General features: G+C 42.4%; 1 protein-coding gene across 9 annotated transcripts in view; it reads left to right on the top strand.

The window, feature by feature from the left end:
* Positions 1-26,480, top strand: part of ERG (ETS transcription factor ERG) — a 294,523-nt gene that overhangs the window by 256,277 nt on the left and 11,766 nt on the right. For 3 of the 9 annotated variants that reach the window (NM_001136154.1, NM_001243428.1, NM_001136155.1), the window contains 7 exons: positions 1,798-2,001; positions 2,870-2,950; positions 4,862-4,933; positions 13,063-13,131; positions 13,792-13,848; positions 14,465-14,512; positions 21,584-25,480. In NM_001136154.1, coding sequence (NP_001129626.1) covers positions 1,798-2,001; positions 2,870-2,950; positions 4,862-4,933; positions 13,063-13,131; positions 13,792-13,848; positions 14,465-14,512; positions 21,584-22,104 — 1,052 coding nt within the window. In that variant the 3' untranslated portion in view covers positions 22,105-25,480. Of the gene's footprint in view, positions 1-1,797; positions 2,002-2,869; positions 2,951-4,861; positions 5,436-13,062; positions 13,132-13,791; positions 13,849-14,464; positions 14,513-21,583; positions 25,481-26,480 lie in introns of those variants that run through there. The other 6 variants (NM_004449.4, NM_001243429.1, NM_182918.4 and 3 more) reach the window with 5 other exon arrangements.

The raw sequence follows: 26,480 nt of genomic DNA, 5'->3' as shown, positions 1-26,480 counted from the left end.
AGCAGACTCTCCCAGGGGAGACCAGGCATCACTAGTTTTTCAGTCTCCCCAGATGATTCCAGAAAGGACCCCAGGCCCTGGACCAATGCGGACTCATTCACGCGTATGCATGGAGATGGACAGGGGACATTCACTAAATAAATTGAGATTATTCACATGGGGGAGGCCTAAGAGCTGCTTAATGATTGAGTATATCTTTGTGAATTCATTTGGCTACATCTTGAAATTATAACATTGAGTGCCAATAGCAAATCATATATCGTTTATGTTAACTTTAAAAACACAAAACAATATATGTAGTTTAAATGGTAAAAATATTAAAATATGTATAGGAGTGATACACGTACTAACTTCAGGATAGTGGTTACTTCTAACCACTAGCTACTAACTTCAGGATAGGTGTTTGCAGTAGGAGAATGGAATGGGAAAGGTAGATTCTACTGGACCTGCAATAATTTCTTTCTTCTATGTAGCTGAAGGGAAGAAAGGGAGGGAGAAGCGAAGGAAGGAAGAGGGAAGGAGGGAGAGGAAGAGAACTCTGGGTGTATGACTGGCTGGCTGTTTCTCACTATTATTACGGTTTACCTCTGCAAACCTAAAAATGTATTGCAGCAGCATACTACATGCTCCATTCTTGAGTAGCCTAAAATATTAGTGGGACCAAACAAACAAGGATCTGAAAGTATTAGCTAAAATGTGACTCCCACACCTGACTTTCATTCAAGAGGACTGGAACATCCTGGCATGCCTGACCCCTAAGGGCTTGTCCCGGGAACTGAGATCAGTGCTCTTAGTTTACAGGTGGGACAGACACAGAAAGGAGAAATAGCTGCCCACAGCAAGGTCCAGAAAGTGGAGAAATGGTGAGATTAGAACTCAGGGCTCCAACTCCCTGCCCATGTGTCTCTCAGGGCTCGGGGCCCAAGGGAGCAGCCGCCCCATTTACCACACTCTGAAGACCCTACCACTGAGGGTGTTTACCACAGGACATCCCGGCTGGCGTTTCTGTTGGAGATCACCTGCTCCTTCTCCCCCGGGCCCTGCTCTCCCTGTCCCATAGGTAGCACTGGAGTGTGACGACGTGGCCTGCATCCTGTGGGGTGTTTGTGCTCGCCATGGCCAGCTGTGGAATGCAAAAACCACTCACCAACCCCACTCCTGCAGGTGCTGGTTAATTGCAAAACCAAACACCCTGCAGGAAAAGTCTGGAACTGACAGCTCTCTATGAGGAACGCTGGCTCATAGGAGGGGCTAGAGTCTTGGTGTATCTATATTTCATTTCCGATTCTGTGGTCAGTATTTTTCAGTATTTTGCATAAATACTGTTATTATTATTTTTGTTGTTGTTGTGATCTGTAATTAGCACCTTCCTGATATGTGTGGCTTACTCTTATTTCCATATAAATATATATAAATATACCAGTAGTTTTCTAAGGAAAAGAAGTTTCCTCTTATTCTTACTCATTTTAAAATAAATAAATAAAATTGAACATAAATGAGAAAAAAGAATTTTTAAAATCTTATGCCTACAGGAAACTTTAGATTGAGCAAAAACAAGGGCATGTGATGTGAATAATCCCAAGATTCCAGAACTATTCACTTTAAAGACAATGATCTATGGATGTGAGGCAGCTTTTGTCTTTCCCCCAAAATGTTCTCCTGGGTAGCCAGGGAGGCTGGCTGGAGGCTGTGCTTGTGGAAGGCAGCTGGTCAGAAATCCCACGTGGATGGGGATCTACCCCAAGATGAAGATCCCTGGCTTCAGGAATTGACTGAATGTGTTCCCACCCCTTTCAGATCCTACGCTATGGAGTACAGACCATGTGCGGCAGTGGCTGGAGTGGGCGGTGAAAGAATATGGCCTTCCAGACGTCAACATCTTGTTATTCCAGAACATCGATGGGAAGGAACTGTGCAAGATGACCAAGGACGACTTCCAGAGGCTCACCCCCAGCTACAACGCCGACATCCTTCTCTCACATCTCCACTACCTCAGAGAGAGTAAGCTCCCCCTTCCTCCAAGGATAGATGGCTGTGGCTATGGTTCTTATGACCTGAGCTTCAGAGGGTTCAACCAGGTGTGTCGACAGCATCCTCCTGCCCTCGCCCAGTTCCCACTGGGGATCCGAGGGAGCCACATGCTTGGTATGTGATGACTTAGGGGAGCAACACCCTGGCCACATCACCTGATGAGAAGTAGTCAGCGCTCTCAGGAGAAGCCAAAATTCACTTCAACACTCAGCTGCCTCCTCCAGGGTCCTGCGACCAAGAAGATGGAATGTCAAAGGGGAAAGGAAGCGTTAACTGGTCACACATTAGTTAAGTCTCCATGATACCCCGAATCGAAATAGAATCATTAAGGCTTCTCTTTCGTAGGAATTAGGGGGATTATTCTCCCTAAAGCTACATGAAGCCCCACTTTATATTCTAACCTGAGCACAGAACAAGGGAAGTTTTCACTTTGTATCATGTGATTCGGCTTAACCTGACAGAAAGGGATGGCATGTTGGCATGAATCCAGAATGTTTGCTGCATGCTTTAATTTCTACAACGTCCAGCATGGTGAGAAGGAAGTAGTGTGACAGACAGTGAGGTGGATAAATTCTCCTCCATTGCTTTGCCTGGCATCCCAACCACTTCTTCCCTGAATTAAAGACGGGCCCCCATGTAGGTTTTAACATGCTAACAAGTAGCAGGTTGCTGGAAATAGTTATAAGCTTCCCATGATGTTAGTGTGGGAGTGGGGGAACGGTTTTCTTTCTTTCTTTTTCTTTCTTTTTTTTTTTTTTTTTTTGTAAGAAAGGTAATTCTCTTTCTCTCTCTCTCTTTTTTTTTTCATTTTGATGTCGCTTTTTGTTTTGTTTTGTAGCTCCTCTTCCACATTTGACTTCAGATGATGTTGATAAAGCCTTACAAAACTCTCCACGGTTAATGCATGCTAGAAACACAGGTAATGCTGGCCCCGCCCCTGCCTCCCAGCAAGAGCGTAGGGTCTTACGTACAGGTTGCATGCTTTCATGGGAAACCAGTCAGCGCGTGCCAGGAAGACAGAACGCAGGTAGATGATTCAGAATACTTTCGGATACTTAGGAATGTACCACAGCCTAAAGGAAGGTGAAGCCCTTTGGTTTTCTGAGCGCTTCCCAAGCACCCCACTTTGATTATCAAAGGGTTCCTTTTTAACCAGGAGACGTGCAGAATTTGCCTTTAGCCATAACTTAGCTCACATTTGCCGGATTACAGTCTTCTTCTGTTGGTCCCAATATATTCGCTGTGCTGACTCTGTAGACACTAAAAGCATGTTCGATATAAAAGGGCCCTTAGCAACCTCCTTTAATTTTTTCCATTTTTATTCTTAAAGAAATATTTGCTAGGATAAGTTGGAATTTTCTTTTTCCTTTCCAATAAACTTTTAGGCTATTTGATTTGTTTTCCTACAGACTTTGTATGTTTGCAAAAGGCAGGAGGGAATTTCTGTAACATTTTGAGAGCTTTTGTTCAGAGGGAACCTCTGCTATAATTTTGGAGAATATGAAATTAGTCACTAACCAAATGCCTGTTTTCTATCTCTAACCGTTGCCTCTACATTTGACTTAGTTATGTATTTATTTTGCCTGAGCCTAAGTAGGGTTTAACACCGTGCCTCATCCTGGCTAACCTTCCTCCCTCGCCCCCCGCTCACAGCAGAGGCTGGGTTTTCTGTGGATGAATGTGTTCCTGGTTCACATCCATCTGCTCCTTCCTGATGGAGAGAGTTCCGGAAGCATGGCCACCGGCTGCTCACCCCACTCTGTTAGCTGCAGGGACCCTCCACAATCACTCGGGCTAGGGAGGGAGACGGGAAGTGCCAGAAAGCCTTGCAAGTCAGCCAGTTAACTCACGATCAGCCCTCACATAGAAATACGCAATTTTCCCAATATTTACCATTTTATTTTAAAATATAAAATGTGAGTGAGTCCCGGTTTGAGTATTACAATGAAATTGCTCATTTATCATGGTCTTCTATATTCAACACATTGTCTTTTTAATCTGAAGTTTTAAAAAACCTGCTTCGAGTTGGTAGTACACTTTTTCAATAATTTTGGTTGCACACATCAGCCTATTAGTGACCTTGTGGCCAGAAATAACAGATAACTTAGAGGAAGTTACTTCCCCTTCTTAGGAAACACCTTTGAGCTATGCACATTTTCTGATAATTTCACATTTATTTATGAGTTCTTTAACCATTGAGTGAAAGTTTCAAAAAAGCTCCAAATATATTAAATTTTGCTATTGTTAAACACGGAAGAAACCAATGAACAAGACAACAAATTCCAAATGGACTGAACTATGAAAAGGGAATTTTCTCAGCTAACAGCATGAGTTTTGGTCAAAAGAGAGAGAGGGAAAATGCATTTGAATAGAGATGTGGATTAATTATTAATAAAATCCATATACTCTTAGGCTAAATACTTATAATTGCTTGATACTACTTTCCAAAAGCTCTGTAAAATATATTATGGGTTTTTATACAAGTTGAAAAATAAAACATGTACCATATAATTTTTTAATAAAACGAGATTGCCCAGTGGGAAGTGGGATTGAGGGGGACACAGATAGGGCTTCATCAAGAAGTTATAAAATCAAAACACAAAACGCTTTATAGCAAACGGGGCACAGGAGTACACCAAGGCTCCAAGTTTCACTTCCATCTTGAGAATCTGACAGGTGCACCTGTCTGTTTCTCCGGAGCTCTGTTAAGGCAGGTTTGAGGAGGTCTCTTCCCTTTGTTGTCATAGGGAAAAGTAGATTTGGCGCTGATGTTGAGATCGACAACCACAACAAAAGACCTTCACATGTTTGTCTTTCCTTTTGTCTGCAGGGGGTGCAGCTTTTATTTTCCCAAATACTTCAGTATATCCTGAAGCTACGCAAAGAATTACAACTAGGCCAGGTACGAAAACACCCCTGTGTGATCTCTTCATTGAGAGACATCCCAGATGTCCTGCTGAGATCCGTGCCCTAAGTCACGTGATACAAAGAGAGCTGATCCCGGAGCTGAAGCCAGTCCCAGACAGTCTTATTCTGCCTCTGTTGATTTGGAGACTAAATCCACTCAAACCATTTCATTCAAAGACCACACTAAAGGAATTAAGAGCAGATTAGCCCTTTAACTAGCTTTTCAGAAAGACAGATGGGCAAAGAAGGCATCCTGGATGCCTGGCAGTTAGGAATAGGCCGACTTTTGAACTAACAGAAGGATCTGTCCCTCCTCGGGGGAAGAGCACAAAACAAGGACACTCCCCAGATTCACAGTGACCGATTATCAGTATGTCACAAGAAGCCAGTCTTGCAGAGCAGAAGCATGCAACCAGTAGTATTTACATCTGAATCTTACTGCCTGTCCTCCAAATGATTTAATTAGGTAATAAATTTACATGCCATTCATGCAAAAATAAACATCTATCAAGTGCCCATTAGTGCCAAGCGTGGTGTTAGACTCTGGGAATATATAGATGAACCAGGCTTCAGTAAGCTTCCTGTCTTCAGAAAGTTTACTTCTTCATTCAGCTTGGTTTGTTCATTTGCTGAGTGCCTCCTCTGTGCCAGCCACGGATGGTATGATGGTGAACAAACCGAAATGTTTTGCCTCCAGTTCTAGATGTTTCAGTAGAGTGACCTAGAGCCAGAGAGACACATATGTACACATAAATGTTTTCCCTAATGTGATAGATTTTATGGTAGAGGAACCACTTCTAGCAATACAGGGCGTAGGAGCAGGGGTGGGGAGGAACTCAATCCCCCATGAAAGGCATAAAGATGCTTTCCAGAGGAATGGCCACATGGCAAAGGGGAATTAGATGTTTGCCAGACGAATAATGAGCAGGGAGAGAGGGCATTTCCCAGAAGGGTATAGCTTGCCTTTAGCATTTGTCCTCTCCCTGGGACTTACATCAGCCCGATAAGCTAGGTATCATTGTACCAGCCTCACAGCTGATGACATTGTGTTCAGGGTGGTGGGATGGTTTCTCCATATTCATACATGCTTCCAGAATTCATGTTAAACTCTATCACATATCCGGAATACACAAGTCTCAGTTCGAACTGGTTCAAGATCTAGGCTTGGCAACTACTCTTTCTTTCTAATGAGAAAGACTGGGGGCCCAGGGAGCTAAAGAGAATGAATGAGGAAGCTTCTCAGGCTGTTCAAATACTGACACTGCCCTGGTTACTGCCTAGTGACTTCAGGCTGGCAATTTTCTCTTCTCTAACGTCAGAGAAAAAGTTTACTGTCTTGCTCCTGGGAAGCATGATGGAAAGGCTTAGCAGCTAAGGGGTACTAAGAGGTAGTAAGTCATCTCTGTCATGTAAAAGATTTCACAGGCCATTGAAACATGGGCAAGACCCAGTGCCTAGAGTCTGCAAGATTGGTCCTAAAGACATCCACCACGTGTATTGCGAGTGGAAAATAGAAATTCATGTTTGACTCAAGCTTTAGAGATTTTGTAATTCTGTGAGCATTTAAAAAATATTTCCATATAAACTAAAAAAATAAAAACTATTTCCAAAACATTTGGCTAGGGTTTTAAAAATTTTTTTACTTTTTAATTTTGTATTTGTTTGTTTATGTTAAGACATCTCATAGGTGCCTCTGACTGAGTTGCAAAGCCAGGGGTTGTGAGCTAGTATTATAAACTGTGTTAAAAGATCACAACACTGGCCAAATTCATTGGCACAATCTCTCTGTCAGACAAGCCAGCTGACTGATGCTACCTGGTTAAGACAGTGGGTCCTGGAGCTGCTTTGTTTTCACATTTTAGGATATGGTGGATTTGGAAGGTATGGCCCATCCAGGTGGATGGAGAAGAGGGTGACTGTGAGGATGTTGGTTGGGACTCCCTCTCTGCCCAACCCAGGGAAGGCAAGGGTGGCAAACTCAGACACCTCCCATGCCGCTCTGATGGTGGTCTTCCATGGGCCCATAATTTGAGCGTGACCTGGGAGAGAGCACACTTCCACAGCTCCACTACTAGTCAAGTATGTTTTCGCGACTCAGTTTGTACCTGAAATAACCTGTTTTGACCACTGCTACTGTGATTATGAGAACCAATACAAATATTGGTATCTGACCTGTAAAGAATTTAAAGCAGACTGAACAAGCCAGAGGACTATTTACTGTAGGCCCTATTCAGGGACTTGAACTTGGAGATAAGAACTAGTTATACACCTCGGGTCATCCATTGCTAAGCGATCAACCTTAAAGGACTGCTCCTGTGGAGATAAAAGCTGTGAACCTGCAACTGGAGAATGAACGTCGTGATGGCTGAGGGGGAAGAGCTTTTGCATCACTAACTTTCAGAGCTGAACGAGCTCCAGAGGGAGGTCACTGGGAATCTGACGATATCCCTGTGGTCAGTGGGTACCTGACTACTTTCAGAAAGGTGATTGTTGACTGTTTCTTTGAAGGTCCTTGGGGATACAGACCCAAATCCCTGTCTCCTCCACTCTTGGTTTGCTGTGCCATGATCTTCATTTCCATACCCTTTGTCTAATCCCACATCCGAGGGAACCGAACTCTGGTCAGCGTTATTGTGCTGACCATGAAGCAAGCCAGGCTCCTAGGTAACAACTCTACTTAGACCAGAATCTGTCTCTTCTCTGCATGGTGGCCGTTTCATTATAGAGTCCCTGATAGAGGAGACAGTGGTGTTCAGGGTTTACTGGTTAAATTAGACAGCATTCCGCACCCTTTCTGCAGAGACTCCTACACATGTGTGTTGTCCTGCTGCATCCACCTTCCCAGCACTTCCTCACCACCCTTCCCTCCTTCCCTTCCCACTGTGAGTCACCCATCCCTGGGTTACTGCCCCAACCTACCTTTTCTTTTCTTTTATCTTCTTTTCTCTTCTTTTTTTTTTTTTTTTTTTTTTGAGATGGAGTCTCACTCTGTTGCCAGGCTGAAGTGCAGTGGTGCAATCTCGGCTCACCACAACCTCTGCCTCCCGAGTTCAAGTGATTCTTCTGCCTCAGCCTCCCGAGTAGCTGGGGCTACAGGCGCATGCCATCATGCCCAGCTAATTTTTGTATTTTTAGTAGAGATAGGGTTTCACCATATTGGTCAGGATGGTCTTGATCTCTTGACCTCGTGATCCGCCCACCTCTGCCTCCCAAAGTGCTGGGATTACAGGCGTGAACCACCATGCCCAGCCCCCAATCTACCTTTTCTTCTGTTCATGGCCCACCTTCCCAAGTGGATCATTTATTCCAGAGCCCCCTGACTGCTTCCCTGTCAGGTCAGTCTCGCTGCTGCTGTGTCAGTTCAGTCTCCCTGCACAATTGGCCGAGGCCGTTCACTGACCTCACAGGGGACCACATGTGAACATGCCCTGCCACCACCACTACCTGCCATTTGTCCAAACCTCATCCCTTTTCCTTGCATGCCCGTACCTAGTATTTTCCCACGTTTTCCTGATTCAAGATTTACCTTCTTTCACAACCCCTTTGTTGAATTAGCATTGAGACAGTCTTCTCTACTCTCATAAAGTATCAACCCATAGGCATATCATTTTACATTCTGTGGTTTTATGATTTTTTAAATATATATATATTTTATTATACTTTATTTTATGATGTTTCACGTGTTTCTCACGTTGTTGCAGTTACTACGACCAGAATCCCTTTCTGTACCTCCTCTACAAACACCCTTCTTTTTTGCTGAATCCACTTCTTTTGGAGCCATAGCCCTTTGAGGTCTCAGGGGAAAAAGTGGCAAAAACAGATCCACAGAATCTTGCAAGCCCCTATTAACTACACAGTGCACCACCCTGCCTGTCCTCTTAGGAGCAGGTCATGCAAAAGCTCAGTTCTATCCCAAGGATGATGTTCTGCAACCCCATCCTTTCCTCTTCCATCCCCATGACAACCCATATATTATGATATGCCTCTGGGGTGTTATCAAAAGAGATTAGAGAGTTAAGCCTGCAAATGCAGCCTTTGCTTCTACTTTGAAGCTGCTGCTCTTCAGGGGTTTCTTGGAATCTTAAATTATTCCTCCATTGGAGCTCACAGCCTAGTGCTTTTCAGCACAGCTAGGCATAGTGAGACAATACAACTACTGCATAGCATCTCTCAGTTAGGTGTTATGTAAAGCCTGTATCTTAGCAAATGGCTAAAATTGCATTCTTTGCTTCCGCTTAGTTCTTATATAACCACAGGGATATGCAAACCTAGGCAAGAAGGGAATGCAAAATGTTTCCAAAACTCCATGCTCAAACTTTGATGTAGAATTTTAAGAAGATCTGGAGGAAAATAGAGAGCAACTTAATTATGTTAAGGTTGACTCAAACTTTTTTTTTCATTTCACAGACACTTCTAGATTGGTTCTTAGCAGCAGCTCTTGCTCTTCCTAATTTGTGTTCCCCATTAGCATCTAATTTCAAGAGCAGGCAAATCTCATCTGTTCCCATCCAGCCCAGCCAGGGAACCTCCAGAGTTGCTTTGCAGATATGGTGTGGATCCTGCAGAATGAGGATGAGCTCTTCCACGATCCACATTCTTGCCCTTTAAAAAATAAAGCGGGTAGGCAGCGGGGTGGCGGTGTGGGGTGTGTGGGGCAAGAGCTAGAGCGTTCCTCCTCAGTGAGTTTGATGAAGGGAGAATGTAAAACTTGGCTGAACTTAGCCCTCCAGGAAAGGGTAGCCAGAATGTTGTATTAATTTAGTGATGTCTTCAAAAGGGTGTGGTGGAGGAGGAGTCTCATTCAGAATGAGAAGCTGATCCCAGCTCCCAGGAAATCGACACAGTTGCTGGTGTGTAGTGGTCAGCACTAGCCGAGTCCCTATTTGTAGCTTCATGCTGTTTTTTATACTGTTGTGATGTAATGTACATCTGTGTTCACCCAAGCTGCCTATGCAATGACTTCTATAAAGCTCAGTTTTTAAACACAGTCTCTTACAGATAAAACAACAGAACCAGTGCCAGAAAGCAGCCTTCCCTTACATGGGCACTTCTGCCAAGCATATGAGTTCATTGCCTTGAAGATCAAAGTCAAAGAGAAATGGAGAGGGTGTTGAAATGATCAGCGAAAATTAAATGTAAAATATATTCTTATTGGAAGTCTGATGCTCTATTATCAATAAAGGACACATAGCAAAGATACATAGAGGAGTGATTTTTCAAGCAGTCAAGAGCAGAACTACGAAGGTTTTGAGATGGTGTAGCTGCCAAAGAAGTCACCCCTGGCTGTCCCCCATCTCAGTGAGCCTGAGTTGAATGTTTCCCAATGTCATATCCCACAGGGGGATACTTAGTGCCCACAGCATGTGATCGGTAGCCGATAAGGAAGCATTGGACCAGAATGTCATGGAAGAAAACAAAAGCCCACTTATCTTCCGCGGCAATATGTTTATGAACATGTGAATCATTGTTCATATAACTGTCTCAAATACTTGGCTGAAAAGTAGACTGTTTGGTGTTAAGTTTCGACTTATTTTCGAGGGAGGATGGGATATGGTTATACACCATATGAAGGATTTTGTGAATAAAGAGTTTCAAAATATTTTGGGAATAGTAGTTCGGCATTTATTTTTTTTCCCAGTCACATTTCATGAGCAACAATTTTATGTTTAAGGTAGTATCTGACTAACCTACTGATGCTGTCTATTCATTCCATTAGCATACTTATGCCATGGGTAAAAGCAATCCATCTAGAACTCTTTCAACCATTTTTTAGTTTGTCTTTGCACACTCTAGATAGCATTTCTGAAATCATCTGCAGGAACAGAGTTCCTGAAAAGAGCAATGGTCTAGAGCAGGCTTTCTCAGACTTCAGTGTGCACCAGAGTCACCCAGGATCTTGTTAAAATGCTGATTCTGAGGCCAGGCGCGGTGGCTCACGCCTGTAATCCCAGCACTTTAGGAGGCTGAGGCGGGCGGATCACGGGGTCAGGAGAGCGAGACCATCCTGGCTAACAGCATGAGACCCTGTCTCTACTAAAAATACGAAAAATTAGCCAGGCATGGTGGCAGGCACCTGTAGTCCCAGCTACTCAGGAGGCTGAGGCAGGAGAATGGTGTGAACCTGGGAGGTGGAGCTTGCAGTGAGCCGAGATCGCGCCACTGCACTCCAGCCTGGGGGACAGAGCGAGACTCCACCTCCAAAAAAAAAAAAAGATAATAAACAAAATGCTGATTTTGATGCAGTAGGTCTGGGGTAAGATTCTGCATTTCTAGCAAGCTACCAGGTATTGTTGATGTTGCTGGTCCACAGACCACCCTTTGAGAAACAGAGATCTAGAACATATTTCTGTATTTCTGTATTATCTTGCTTTTTTTCATTTGGTAAATAGAAGGCCTTAGTTAATGTGCTTTTCTGCTCCTAAATTAGGTTAGATGTGGCTAGGATTGCCTTGTGAGTAGGTTTTTCTTTCTGAGACAATTTGCAAATTGAAACTCTGGCTGTCCAGTTTATTTTAGACAAAATGCAACTGACTGAGAACCCATGTGCAGAGTGTTCCCAGAGACTTAAGTTGAAGTTCAGTTGTAAATTGTTAGGGGCTGCAGATATAATTCCTATGTGTAACCCCAACACAAGAGATGTGAAAATCTGAGGATCTGGGTGGGAAAAGATTTACGTCCAAAAATGCAAAAATGCCAGCTGAGAGAGAGGAGTAACATCAGTTTAAAAAGAAAAATTATCTAATTCTCCAAAGCTCTGAAGGGTAGGATTTCATAGACCACACTAGTAGCAAAGATGCTTGCAGCCAAACAGACCAAATACATTAAGGAGATTCTGTGTTGACTTTCACGTTGCGCATCATTTCTATTCTCTTTGGGATATGAAAATAGGAAGAGACACATCTTCTGCAACACAGTCAAGCTCTTTGAAGATTGACCCATCAAATTGCTGGTTTTAAACAAAATTAAAATATTTGTTTAAAGAGAAGCTTAAAAACAATTGCATTGTCCTACCCTCCAAGTGAAATTTTGTACACATCTCCTGGTGTCTGGCAGCAAAGTACCTGCTGAGATATTTGGCCATGGCCTTCACTTGGCCCAGAATGACACATGACATTGAACTGAGACCAAGCAATCCAAGAAGACATAATTTTGAAACAGTTATGTAATAAGATTGCATGTAGAAATAGCCTTAGCTATGCACTCTTAGCAAGAGTATTATAATAAGGTTTCTGTAATATATTTTTGAAACAAACTTGAAATGACATAGAGCTTTGATAATCATTAATAGAACTCACACTGAGGATGCAGAAGTATAGTTATTAAATTTGCATATGAAAAGTAAATGAAGGTTTATAGGACAAGTGATACGACTTTATAAATACAAAGAAATGTTTGGCATATGCTTAAGCTCAGAAGGTCATCATTAATGGGCTGTGGGAGCAATACTATTTCAGTCCTGTAATTCATTTCATGCAGGTCATTTTAGAGAAATTCTAAATTTATTTAGAACATTAGAAATGGGAGACATTTGCCTATGAAAATCACTAGATCAGATAAGACTGATTTAATATAAATTGATGAGATTATAAAGGGAAAATGGGAGTTGGCTAAGAGAGGCAGCTGGCAAATAAAAAGATAAGGCAGCGATCACTTCCCAGGAGATGCAAGAAGAAAAAGAAGCTGAATGTCATTTGATTGATTTAGGAACAGACCTCAAACAAAAATGGGCTGGTTCATCCAAGTTGTAGACTCTGCTTTGGATGAGTCATGAAGATAATAAAGAGACAGATGTAGATCAGTCCCAGTGGAAGCAGGATGAACTAGATTGTAAGAAACTTTTATTGGGGTCTTGACTTATGGTTGTAGGAAATTAGAAGAGTTGGAAAGCTCTGGGAGAATCTGCCAATGGAAGTTTTCAGACAAACGGGTGAGAATTTTAGACCACTATAATATATGAAATTTTAATTTGTAAATAAAACTCAAATCTAGTGGGATATTTCTTTGGATTACCAGATTTTTTTGCACAAAGTTTATTCTAATAAATACAAAATCAAATAAAAAACCAAAGCATCTCTTATAAAAATTACATGATTGATCTTTTAGTCAATTTATTTGTCTTTACAGATTTACCATATGAGCCCCCCAGGAGATCAGCCTGGACCGGTCACGGCCACCCCACGCCCCAGTCGAAAGGTACAGTGTTGGCTCCCATGACCCTGAGTTTCATGTCACAGGCAGTGGATGACTGTTGATGGAGTATATAATAATTTCTGTGGTTAATCTGTGATTTTGCAACATGTGATGGGTTTGTTCCATTGACGACAAGAGTACAATTGATCTTTCACTGCAGTGATTCTTTCTCCATTTGGGTCATCAGGACTTTCATAACAAAAATAAAGGAATGATGTAGTGTATGTCAACCTTCACAAATGCATGTTTCATGGGATGTTTGAGTACACATTAAATAATCGGTGTTTTCCTGAATCTTGGCCATGCTTAAAAGTATCCCTGGCTTTACTTTATTTGACTGGTGGTTTCCCTTTATGTGTTTATCTTAGACTATGATTTATTGTAATCTGTTTGGTAAGCCATTCCAAATTCTTTTTTTTTTTTACTTTTGGAAAAAGTGGGAGGTATCCATTTTTTAAATAATTGGAAATGTCCTCTTTTTTTGTTACAGTGTTTACATTTGATTTCATCAGAAAGGAAAATTTTTCCTTACCGTGAGATGCTTCTGAGTTAGACTATTATGTTAATAACTAAATTAACTGATAGAATGATTATGCAACAACATCAAAGACTAGTGACCAAATCTGTTATAGCTAATTGCCTTTTGTATTTCTGGATTTTCAGCTGCTCAACCATCTCCTTCCACAGTGCCCAAAACTGAAGACCAGCGTCCTCAGTTAGGTATGTTTCAGGGGCCGTCTGGATAACCATAAGAGAAGATTCAGGCTCAGCAGCACATTTCTAAAATGCTTCACTTTTTAATGGAAATTAACATGATTGTTTGCCTCTTTTCGACAGCTCCATACATAAGATAGGGCCCAAGTCATCAGCCTACTCATGCGAGGTGACTTGAGATGGTGCTAAAACACGTCCCCAACTATGCAATAAATAGGGAAAAAAATTCTACGTGCACACAGGCTGCTTCTTTGTGATCCATTAATTTTTTAGATTTTACTTTCCATGCCTAAACAACACAGCCTGCACGGCCCTGGATTGATGGGGCTTGGCACATGTTTGCCCTCTTTATATCATTGGTTGGTGTGAGCCTTGAGCTATATGTCAGGATCCTGGGGTTGAATCCAAGCCCTGCCACCAATTAGGAGTCCCCTAGCAAGACATCTGAGATGCCGTGTGACATCTTCTCTCATAGAGGAGGTGGAGGCAGTTGATTTGGAGTTGGAGGACATTTTCGGCTCTGAAATCTGAAAAAACAATTAAGTCAGGCATTATGTCTGAAGTCACATCATACTATGTTACAACTATGTCTAGGATTTGACTTTGTTTCTTTTTGCTGTAGATCCTTATCAGATTCTTGGACCAACAAGTAGCCGCCTTGCAAATCCAGGTGAGAAACTGCTGATGATTTTCTTCTTACAAAATTACTTTTTGGCAGTGGTTATTTTGAAAAGTAAATTGGTATTGGTGAGAAATTCCTTCAACTGAACAGATTTTAGTTTTAGGTCTCACTGAATTATTTGCCTTAATGGAAAGATGGGTTGGGTTATAAATTAAGATTTCAGCTTCAGCAAAGAACATTATAACCTAATCCAAGCTGTAATAGTTTTCTAGGGCTGCTGTAACAAAGTACCACGGATTAGGTGGCTTAAACAACAACAGTTTATTGTCTCGCAGTTCTGGAGGCTGGAAGTCTGAAATCAGAGTGTCATGGTGGCAGGTTTCGTTCCTTCTCAGGGCTGTGAGGGAGGGATCTGTCCTGGGGGCTCTCCCTGGCTTACAGATAGCCATCATCTCCTCGTGTCTCTTCTCATCATCATCTCTCTGTGTGTGTCAGTCTCTGTGTCCAAATGCCTCTTTTGCATAAGGACATTGGTCAGGTTGGAATACCTACCCCATAACCTTACTATAACTTGATTACCTCATTTAGGATCTTATCTCCAAAAAAGGTCACATTCTTAGATACTGCGGGTTAAGATTTCAACATAGGGAATTGAGGGAACACAATTCAACCCATTATACAAGCAGATAAAATAACTAGTATTTTTTAAAAGAGAGCCTTGATACAACCACAAGACTTCAAATTCAGGCTCATCTTCGATGGTCTGTTTCTGAACTTCGATGCTAGAAGAAAGTGCAGATTCTTAATTAGCCCATTTGTAACCAGTGCATTGCCAAGGTTTGTCACCTGTCCTAGTGTTTCAGTGCCAACCACATAGTTTTATTTGTTTGTATTCAGATCAGAACCAGCTGTGCTGGCACCAGCTTCAGAAATTCATAGCCTATGCTGCATATTCCCAACTGCAAATTCAAATGCCAAGATGTTACAGGCATATTGCAAGCACAAGATGGAATGTGTATTTCCTAAACGTTGAGGCCAAAATAAGGTTCGAAATGGAATAATTAAGATTTAATCAGTGTACATCCCTGCAAGAGAATCTACACATTGAAAACACGAAATGTTATCATTATTGAACATCTGTATTTTTGAAGTTAAATTTTGGTTAATGTTAATGAATTCAATGAATTTTTTTTACACAGCTGAAAATCTAAAGAAAACTAGTTAGCCTGGGGCCTAGACTAGGTGCTCAATAATTATTTGTTGCATACATGAATGCCAAGGATAATGAGATATAGTCCTTTAGCTCAGGGTGCTTTTGGTCCGTGGAGAGATGGACACAGGTAGTTACAACATTGTCCCAAACACAGAGCCACAGGCCCTTTTTGCTCATGCTGGCTTTCATCTAGTAGCCCAGGCTCCTGAGGCTGTGGTCTCTTCTCAGCCTTCTGCTCAGCTTTTCATTTGCAACTCTGCCATATAACCATTCAAATAAAAATAATGACTATGTTTTGAGATGATTATTATCAGTCATGCTTCAGGAAGACTGATCTGGCAGCAATGTTCAGGATAGATTAGAAAAAAGAAAATGACGGAAGCTGAAACACTCTGGGAATGTTAATACAATCATGTGAAATAACAATCAAACAGCTCCCATCCCGCAGAATGCCCCCCATAGAATGTCTGTGGTCCCTTCTGTGTCTCATAACAGCCCTGGGAGGTTACTATCTCCATCCTACAGAAAAGGAATTAGAAGTCCAGAGAAGTTAAGTAACTTTTCCTGTGTCACACAGCCAATGATAAGGGAGGTCAGGTTAGAAACCTGACTCTGTCTGCAAAGTCTACTTTTGTTTTCTTGCCCTACTCTGCCACTGACTAAGTATGAAGGGAAGAGGAGGTCTTACAAAATGCGGACTGTGAGAATAGAAAGCAAGGATTTCCTTTCAGGGTCATAACTGCTTAGGTGCAGGCGATGAATCTGAGGTCAGGAAGGAAGAGGAGGAAAGAGTCAAGCTGCACCAAAGAAGACCAAACTGGCCTTTGCACTCACACATTGGCCAAATGAAACATATATGTCCATGACCACGTTGTCACAGCCCAAAGGTACTGCTTGGCTTGTTTGTAGAATAGGGCCTGAGTCACTTGCTCCTAAGCAAAGTGCCAGCTTTCACAAGGGAACACTGCATATGCCCTGGGCCCAGCAGCCCGGGGATGCCCTTTGTAGATAGAGGGACCTGAGCTCAGAGCAAGGAGACCGGAAACTCATCACAGGCCTGGGGAAGGAGGACTGTGCTTCATACCATTAAGACTGTTCTTAATGGGCCTGGAGAAAATGGCAACATCCCATCTTTGATTTGCAGGCAAGTGACTTTAAGATAAAGATTTATTTCATTTAGTTTCTGATGAATTTGACTTTCTCTCCATCTATCTTTAGGTTTGTGTCTGTTGTGCTCATGTGAACTTTTCCCCTGAAACCAGAATGTCTTTTATCTTTGTATTAATGACAATGCTTCTTCCTGTTTGATTCTATTTTTCTATTCTCTGATAAATAAATCTTTCATCACTTAAAAATTGCTGTCTTTGCTCTTCATACAATACAAATTCCTTTTCATCATTTTAAGTGGAAAGATTGCATCATATAGTATGAATGCACAGGATGATGTCAGCATCCCAACATCTCTATCCCAAATATTCACTTGATGTGTACTTTGGACATCACTTTTCCTGCTGAGAACAGTGTGTCCCTGCATTCTGATATCATGGATCGGTTATAAGCAACACAGCTCCTTTACATCCCATCAGAGCAGCTGAGAATCTATCTAACATGGTTCCTCTAATGAAAGAGCTTTGGTGGGTTATGTTCAGAGGCTTCCTTGATGCTAACTGGATACTCTTCAATGGTGCACATGAAAATACATCCTGCCTCTTGCAGAACGACAGACCAGGCTAGGGATGTTTTCCCATTTGTTAGGAGGTGGCAGTGTGCAGTCTTCCAGTGGGAGTCCCCCAGGGAGGGGACAACATGGAAAGGACCTGAGGAGGCTACAGAGGTGTGCATAAACCAGGCCTGAAAGCAAGTTTGCGCAGTGATTAAGCATGGCAGCCTAGAGTCTGGATTTCAACCCTTGCCAACGCTAAGCAAAATAAGTCAGTCTACCTCTCTAAGCTCCAATTTCGTCACTTCTCCAATGGACTAATCACATGATTCCTGTGGGGATTAAATAAACCAATACATGTAAAGCGTTTAGAATGGTGCATGGCACACAGTAAGCTTTCAGAGGATATCAGTCAGCCCAAGAATAGCACCGTTTCAAGCTTCTTCATGGTTCAATAGGCCAATTGAACAGTATTTCTCTTTCTTTAGGCATTTCCTGGCTATAGGAGAGGAGTGTTATCTTTCCTTAAACTCTGATTTTCAGCCCAAAGAAATTCTGACAAGACCATTCAAGTACTGAGTTCATCCTTACCATGATCTTGCAAGATAGTACTATTACCATCACCCCCACTTTACAGATGACGATACTGAGGCAGAGAGAGCTGCGAGAGTTGCCAAACGTCCCACAAAGGGCAGAGGCAGGATTCAGCTGAAGCAGTGGCAACTCCAAAGTTGGTGCTCCCTACCACCATGCTTTCCTGCCCCTCCAGTAAGTGGTGCCTGAGCCTCACTGAGCCTCGGGGCAGAGACTTCCATTCAGGACACACCTGCTGGACACACCTGCTGCCTTGCAGAGGGTCCAGGCCATGCACACGGGATCTTCTGCACCACCCCTGGCTTCTAGAGAAAGTGGCCCCAAACCACTGCCACATGGTACTGGTGGGGCCCCTCACGGCTGTATTTACTGCCCTTGTTCATCAGCTGACGGCTGCAGGGCTTTGCACCAGGATGCTGTTTCCACCAGACACAGCTGCTGACTCACTCTGCAGCTCTCTGCTTTGCTCTGTGGTTTGTAAACCGTTTAGTTTTTTTTTCCCCCTTTTTTGCTCAGTCTGTACCCCTTTGCTACCCTGTTTCTCTCCCTTTCTTTTAACAATATTAGGAGATTACTTTCCTCTGTAAAATTAAAGGAGTGCCTCTGTCTTCTTAAAAGCCACAGCCGCTCCCTTTCACCCACAGGGTTCTCTGTAGGTGGACAATGCTGCTTGCCACTGTTTTTTACCTCCAAATATGTTTTATTTTGGTAATTACCCTAAGAAAAAATTAGTTCCTCCTTACTGACATCGCAAGGATGTTATTAAGAGAGAGTAAAAAAAAAAAATAGATCTGAAGGGTTTACCCAAGAAAGGTGAGTCCTAAGGTAGAGGTGGTGATGCTACTCAATGAAAGCTCTTGTCTTTCAAGAACTTCTCTTTGTAAATCCTGGTTTGGCCCATGAGTGACCCAAGCCACTTTTAGGCTTTCCTAAACCCTAAGCATTCTTGTTTGGAAATCTCTATTCTATATTCTAAAATGCACCTCGTCACACATTAAATGTTATTGTTTTGGAAGTAAAATAAGAATTTAAAAATTGCTCTTAAAATTTTATGACTGAGAATAATTCCTTTACCACTGACAATTTTTTAACAACCATTGTTCATTTTTGAGAATTCTTGCAGTGAGAAATTTTGTTCTACACACTGCAAAATGCAGCGAATTTTGTTACAAATATTAAATTTAACAATTAATGAGTTTGACATGATGTTACTCTTTCTACCATTTACTTAAACATTCATTGATTTTGCATTTCCAGGTTTCTTTCAAGGTTTGAAAGCTGATGAATTTTGCTTACAGTTCTCTTATTTCTATAGACCCTCCCTTGAAATTCTCACAGTCCTGAGCCCTATGTCTTTATGGCTACTGGGTAAAATAGTCAAGTGAGAAATTAGCTCATCCATCCTTTGGGCATAGAGTTTGCTGCCACAAATTTAGGTCCCCTGCTTTCTAACTCTTCAGAAATAGGAGAGACATGAGATCACTTTTGTCCACTGATTCTGTCCTACACACGTTTATAAGAGAAATGGGTGAGGGACAAATTGCTAAGAGGCAATGCCAAGGTTTGAGTAGATTCCAAGTGTGATTTCGGCAGGTCTGTGGAGTTGCTTTCTCTATGGGAGAAAGTTGACGCTGAATATTTATTTTCAAACAACCGTATGTGTTTATATTGAAGCATCTGTTAGACTGTTAAATCAAAAATCCATGCCTTTTCCTATTCCCAGGTCATATACGGAATTTTTTCAAGTTGTAATTTTTTGGTTACAATATATATACTAAGACCATATGGTTTTCTCATACCATTCTTTGTATTTTCTAAATGCATATTAATAAAATGTTGGAGGCAACAAAACTTGATTGGGAACAGTTTGTATATGTGGTTCTGAAAAAGCAAAGGCTTCCACTTCAATGAGCTACAAGCTGTTAATACATTTCAAATGTGTTGCTAGACTGAAAATGAGCACTTTCCAGCATAGATTCAGAAAAAGCTGACCTTTCTCACAGTGCTATTGTATGGATAAATTCACAAAAATATCCATGTCCATGTAGCCAACATGCAAAGCAGAGTTTATAAGTTGGGTGATATGTACAGGAGGCTAGCGAGGATTTAGAAGAAAATGAACGTAAAATTGATTTTTACAGTATATTACTTCCCTGAGTAGATGTCAGTTAAAGTTACTTTAATCATTTTATCACATCGATTGATATTACTTACACTATAATAAAAGGTAATCTTTTGGTAATAAGTCTAAGGCAGTGCTGTAACTGGAATTTGGGAGGAAAGACCCACCTCCCATCTGTTCTTAAGCTTCTGAAATATGTTCAGCACAGCTTAGCTTCTCTTGGTACGGATACTGCTGTCAATATTTACATGCTGCTGTCTTCTAGGGAGCCATAAACTATCTTCAAGTATTGTAACATAGCAGCTAGAATGATGTGCCTAGATTTTTCTTTGAATTTCATAAAACAAAGCTGTATCTGTATGATTTCAATGAAATCAAGAAAATTCTGACTTTGTCCACCCAGCTAAATGTGATCTCTTTGACAAAGGAAGAGTCTCATTCAGCTTCCCAAGGGGACTTGCAATCACTCATTGTTGGGGTTTTTCTTCTGGAAATGCTGCTTAACACAATTGGCGTTGCAGCACACAGGCAAGGCACTGGTTTCCGTTACGATGCGCTTGCCCAAATACTGGAACTGGGTGATCTGGTTTGAAAAAGAGCCAGCTTTTTTTTTTTTTTTCCTAAACTTCCTCATTTTGAGTGGGTTAATTCTGTTCTAGGAAAAGTTTTCACAGAATTGCTTTCTGAGCGCCAGCAAAATGTTATGTTAGAAATAATGGTGTTTACTTCCATTCTCGATTTTTTTCCATAAACTTTTAGAAGTTCATTTCCTAAATCTAACTTTTATTATCTTACTTGACCTAGCCAATATAAATGGCATTAAGTCATTATTGCCATCCACATAACAGTACTTTGTGCTTCACAAAATAGGAAAAAAAAATATATAGCTCTTTCATCCCCTAAACACCAGGTTGATCTGGCTGTTCTTTTAAGGACGTCAGAAATGGATGGAAGCAGCCTGAACTTTGCCCCATATGAATTCGCTGCATTCCATCTAGGTCTTGAATCTGTTAGATCATCGTCCTAGGTCGGGTTCCCTTGATGCAGAGCTTGGGGTAAGCCTGCTTGTGCAGGTGACTGATTAACGGCATGTTCTCAGGAGAGAGAGAATGGGAAGTGCTGCAGGGGCAGCGCTAAGGAAGTTTCTGGCCTCCTCCAAGCCTCCTTGCAGCTGGACGCTGTTTCAGCCCAATCCCACGGGAGCCCTGAAGCCTGAATAGCGTCATGGAGTTGGTCTTTCCTTGAGGCAAGGGGGCCGGCCCGTGGTACCCCGTTCAGTCCACCCAGCTGTGGGATACCTGGGGGTGGGCGAGGCGGCGGCTCTGTTCAGGCAAGGGCAGTTCTCTGGAGAAGTGGGTGGCCATGGAACGAGAGCAGTCCGCACCCCTGCAGCTGAGGGATGGACGGACAGGCCTGGTGAAGGGAATGTGGGCGGCACACCAATAGCACCTCCTTCCGTCATCACAGAGAGCCTCTTTCCCCTGGAACCTGTGCTCACTGGAGTTTTCCTTCCTCTCCTGACCTCATTAGGCAGTGGCCAGATCCAGCTTTGGCAGTTCCTCCTGGAGCTCCTGTCGGACAGCTCCAACTCCAGCTGCATCACCTGGGAAGGCACCAACGGGGAGTTCAAGATGACGGATCCCGACGAGGTGGCCCGGCGCTGGGGAGAGCGGAAGAGCAAACCCAACATGAACTACGATAAGCTCAGCCGCGCCCTCCGTTACTACTATGACAAGAACATCATGACCAAGGTCCATGGGAAGCGCTACGCCTACAAGTTCGACTTCCACGGGATCGCCCAGGCCCTCCAGCCCCACCCCCCGGAGTCATCTCTGTACAAGTACCCCTCAGACCTCCCGTACATGGGCTCCTATCACGCCCACCCACAGAAGATGAACTTTGTGGCGCCCCACCCTCCAGCCCTCCCCGTGACATCTTCCAGTTTTTTTGCTGCCCCAAACCCATACTGGAATTCACCAACTGGGGGTATATACCCCAACACTAGGCTCCCCACCAGCCATATGCCTTCTCATCTGGGCACTTACTACTAAAGACCTGGCGGAGGCTTTTCCCATCAGCGTGCATTCACCAGCCCATCGCCACAAACTCTATCGGAGAACATGAATCAAAAGTGCCTCAAGAGGAATGAAAAAAGCTTTACTGGGGCTGGGGAAGGAAGCCGGGGAAGAGATCCAAAGACTCTTGGGAGGGAGTTACTGAAGTCTTACTACAGAAATGAGGAGGATGCTAAAAATGTCACGAATATGGACATATCATCTGTGGACTGACCTTGTAAAAGACAGTGTATGTAGAAGCATGAAGTCTTAAGGACAAAGTGCCAAAGAAAGTGGTCTTAAGAAATGTATAAACTTTAGAGTAGAGTTTGGAATCCCACTAATGCAAACTGGGATGAAACTAAAGCAATAGAAACAACACAGTTTTGACCTAACATACCGTTTATAATGCCATTTTAAGGAAAACTACCTGTATTTAAAAATAGAAACATATCAAAAACAAGAGAAAAGACACGAGAGAGACTGTGGCCCATCAACAGACGTTGATATGCAACTGCATGGCATGTGCTGTTTTGGTTGAAATCAAATACATTCCGTTTGATGGACAGCTGTCAGCTTTCTCAAACTGTGAAGATGACCCAAAGTTTCCAACTCCTTTACAGTATTACCGGGACTATGAACTAAAAGGTGGGACTGAGGATGTGTATAGAGTGAGCGTGTGATTGTAGACAGAGGGGTGAAGAAGGAGGAGGAAGAGGCAGAGAAGGAGGAGACCAGGGCTGGGAAAGAAACTTCTCAAGCAATGAAGACTGGACTCAGGACATTTGGGGACTGTGTACAATGAGTTATGGAGACTCGAGGGTTCATGCAGTCAGTGTTATACCAAACCCAGTGTTAGGAGAAAGGACACAGCGTAATGGAGAAAGGGGAAGTAGTAGAATTCAGAAACAAAAATGCGCATCTCTTTCTTTGTTTGTCAAATGAAAATTTTAACTGGAATTGTCTGATATTTAAGAGAAACATTCAGGACCTCATCATTATGTGGGGGCTTTGTTCTCCACAGGGTCAGGTAAGAGATGGCCTTCTTGGCTGCCACAATCAGAAATCACGCAGGCATTTTGGGTAGGCGGCCTCCAGTTTTCCTTTGAGTCGCGAACGCTGTGCGTTTGTCAGAATGAAGTATACAAGTCAATGTTTTTCCCCCTTTTTATATAATAATTATATAACTTATGCATTTATACACTACGAGTTGATCTCGGCCAGCCAAAGACACACGACAAAAGAGACAATCGATATAATGTGGCCTTGAATTTTAACTCTGTATGCTTAATGTTTACAATATGAAGTTATTAGTTCTTAGAATGCAGAATGTATGTAATAAAATAAGCTTGGCCTAGCATGGCAAATCAGATTTATACAGGAGTCTGCATTTGCACTTTTTTTAGTGACTAAAGTTGCTTAATGAAAACATGTGCTGAATGTTGTGGATTTTGTGTTATAATTTACTTTGTCCAGGAACTTGTGCAAGGGAGAGCCAAGGAAATAGGATGTTTGGCACCCAAATGGCGTCAGCCTCTCCAGGTCCTTCTTGCCTCCCCTCCTGTCTTTTATTTCTAGCCCCTTTTGGAACAGAAGGACCCCGGGTTTCACATTGGAGCCTCCATATTTATGCCTGGAATGGAAAGAGGCCTATGAAGCTGGGGTTGTCATTGAGAAATTCTAGTTCAGCACCTGGTCACAAATCACCCTTAATTCCTGCTATGATTAAAATACATTTGTTGAACAGTGAACAAGCTACCACTCGTAAGGCAAACTGTATTATTACTGGCAAATAAAGCGTCATGGATAGCTGCAATTTCTCACTTTACAGAAACAAGGGATAACGTCTAGATTTGCTGCGGGGTTTCTCTTTCAGGAGCTCTCACTAGGTAGACAGCTTTAGTCCTGCTACATCAGAGTTACCTGGGCACTGTGGCTTGGGATTCACTAGCCCTGAGCCTGATGTTGCTGGCTATCCCTTGAAGACAATGTTTATTTCCATAATCTAGAGTCAGTTTCCCTGGGCATCTTTTCTTTGAATCACAAATGCTGCCAACCTTGGTCCAGGTGAAGGCAACTCAAAAGGTGAAAATACAAGGTGACCGTGCGAAGGCGCTAGCCGAAACATCTTAGCTGAATAGGTTTCTGAACTGGCCCTTTTCATAGCTGTTTCAGGGCCTGTTTTTTTCACGTTGCAGTCCTTTTGCTATGATTATGTGAAGTTGCCAAACCTCTGTGCTGTGGATGTTTTGGCAGTGGGCTTTGAAGTCGGCAGGACACGATTACCAATGCTCCTGACACCCCGTGTCATTTGGATTAGACGGAGCCCAACCATCCATCATTTTGCAGCAGCCTGGGAAGGCCCACAAAGTGCCCGTATCTCCTTAGGGAAAATAAATAAATACAATCATGAAAGCTGGCAGTTAGGCTGACCCAAACTGTGCTAATGGAAAAGATCAGTCATTTTTATTTTGGAATGCAAAGTCAAGACACACCTACATTCTTCATAGAAATACACATTTACTTGGATAATCACTCAGTTCTCTCTTCAAGACTGTCTCATGAGCAAGATCATAAAAACAAGACATGATTATCATATTCAATTTTAACAGATGTTTTCCATTAGATCCCTCAACCCTCCACCCCCAGTCCAGGTTATTAGCAAGTCTTATGAGCAACTGGGATAATTTTGGATAACATGATAATACTGAGTTCCTTCAAATACATAATTCTTAAATTGTTTCAAAATGGCATTAACTCTCTGTTACTGTTGTAATCTAATTCCAAAGCCCCCTCCAGGTCATATTCATAATTGCATGAACCTTTTCTCTCTGTTTGTCCCTGTCTCTTGGCTTGCCCTGATGTATACTCAGACTCCTGTACAATCTTACTCCTGCTGGCAAGAGATTTGTCTTCTTTTCTTGTCTTCAATTGGCTTTCGGGCCTTGTATGTGGTAAAATCACCAAATCACAGTCAAGACTGTGTTTTTGTTCCTAGTTTGATGCCCTTATGTCCCGGAGGGGTTCACAAAGTGCTTTGTCAGGACTGCTGCAGTTAGAAGGCTCACTGCTTCTCCTAAGCCTTCTGCACAGATGTGGCACCTGCAACCCAGGAGCAGGAGCCGGAGGAGCTGCCCTCTGACAGCAGGTGCAGCAGAGATGGCTACAGCTCAGGAGCTGGGAAGGTGATGGGGCACAGGGAAAGCACAGATGTTCTGCAGCGCCCCAAAGTGACCCATTGCCTGGAGAAAGAGAAGAAAATATTTTTTAAAAAGCTAGTTTATTTAGCTTCTCATTAATTCATTCAAATAAAGTCGTGAGGTGACTAATTAGAGAATAAAAATTACTTTGGACTACTCAAAAATACACCAAATTCTGTGCCTTCTTTTTATCTTTTAACCTTGGTTTAAAGAAATCTTGTTGACTCACACCTGTAATCCCAACACTTTGAAGGACAGAGGCGGGTGGATCGCTTGAGCCCGGGACCAGCCTGGGCAACATGAGAGTACCCAGTCTCTACAAAAAAATAAATAAATACAAAAAGCCGGGCATGGTGGTGCACAACTGCAGTCCCAGGAGTTCAAGGCTGCAGTGAGCTGTGATCACGCCACTAGCCTGGGTGACAGAGTGACACCCTGATTCAAAAATAAAATAAATTTTTGACAAAGCAGCCCAGATTAATGCTATATAGAAACAACTAGATAAACTTTTCTAACTTGTAATTTTAAACTCATTTTACTGAGTAAAACATCATTATCTTCTCACAAAAAAATGTTAAACTATTATTCTGTTGGAGAAAGTCATAATATTACCTGATTATAATTAGTGCTAGAATATGTGAATTACAAACTTCTGCAGGAAGCATGTTATATGTAGAAACTTTATGGAAAAAAAAAATGGTTTTTTCATGTTCTGTAGCCACATGGCATGTTTCCTAAAGAAGATAATACAGAAATAGTAGGTAGGCAGAATTTCATCCTGATATGACTTCATAAAACAATCTGGAGATGTTACAAGTTTATGACTCATGACTCATTGAATAAGCACAGCCAAACAGTACTAATTAAAAAATGGATGCTCGTCTAGAAGGGAGGTCGCAGGATTAAACCCCAGGCTGCGGCCCTTGAACTTACTTGGTCATACTTTACTCAGATGAGGATACAGAAGCTATCCTGATCTCAGCTCCAAATGCCATGGGGCTGAGATGACAATAGGTTATGTGACACATCCAGGATGCCAAAGAACAGGCTGAGGTGACGGGTTAGATCTTGAAGGTGTTAGGACCTCCATCCAGTCCTCCCCAAAACATCTGGGAGTTTGATGGAGCAGCAGCACATGTGAAAAGACTTCAGCGTTTTGGAGATGACAGCAAT

This window comes from Homo sapiens, chromosome 21, assembly GCF_000001405.40.
Source record: "Homo sapiens chromosome 21, GRCh38.p14 Primary Assembly".
Classification (NCBI taxonomy): Eukaryota; Metazoa; Chordata; class Mammalia; order Primates; family Hominidae; genus Homo; species Homo sapiens.
This window is presented reverse-complemented; position numbering and strand designations above follow the sequence as displayed.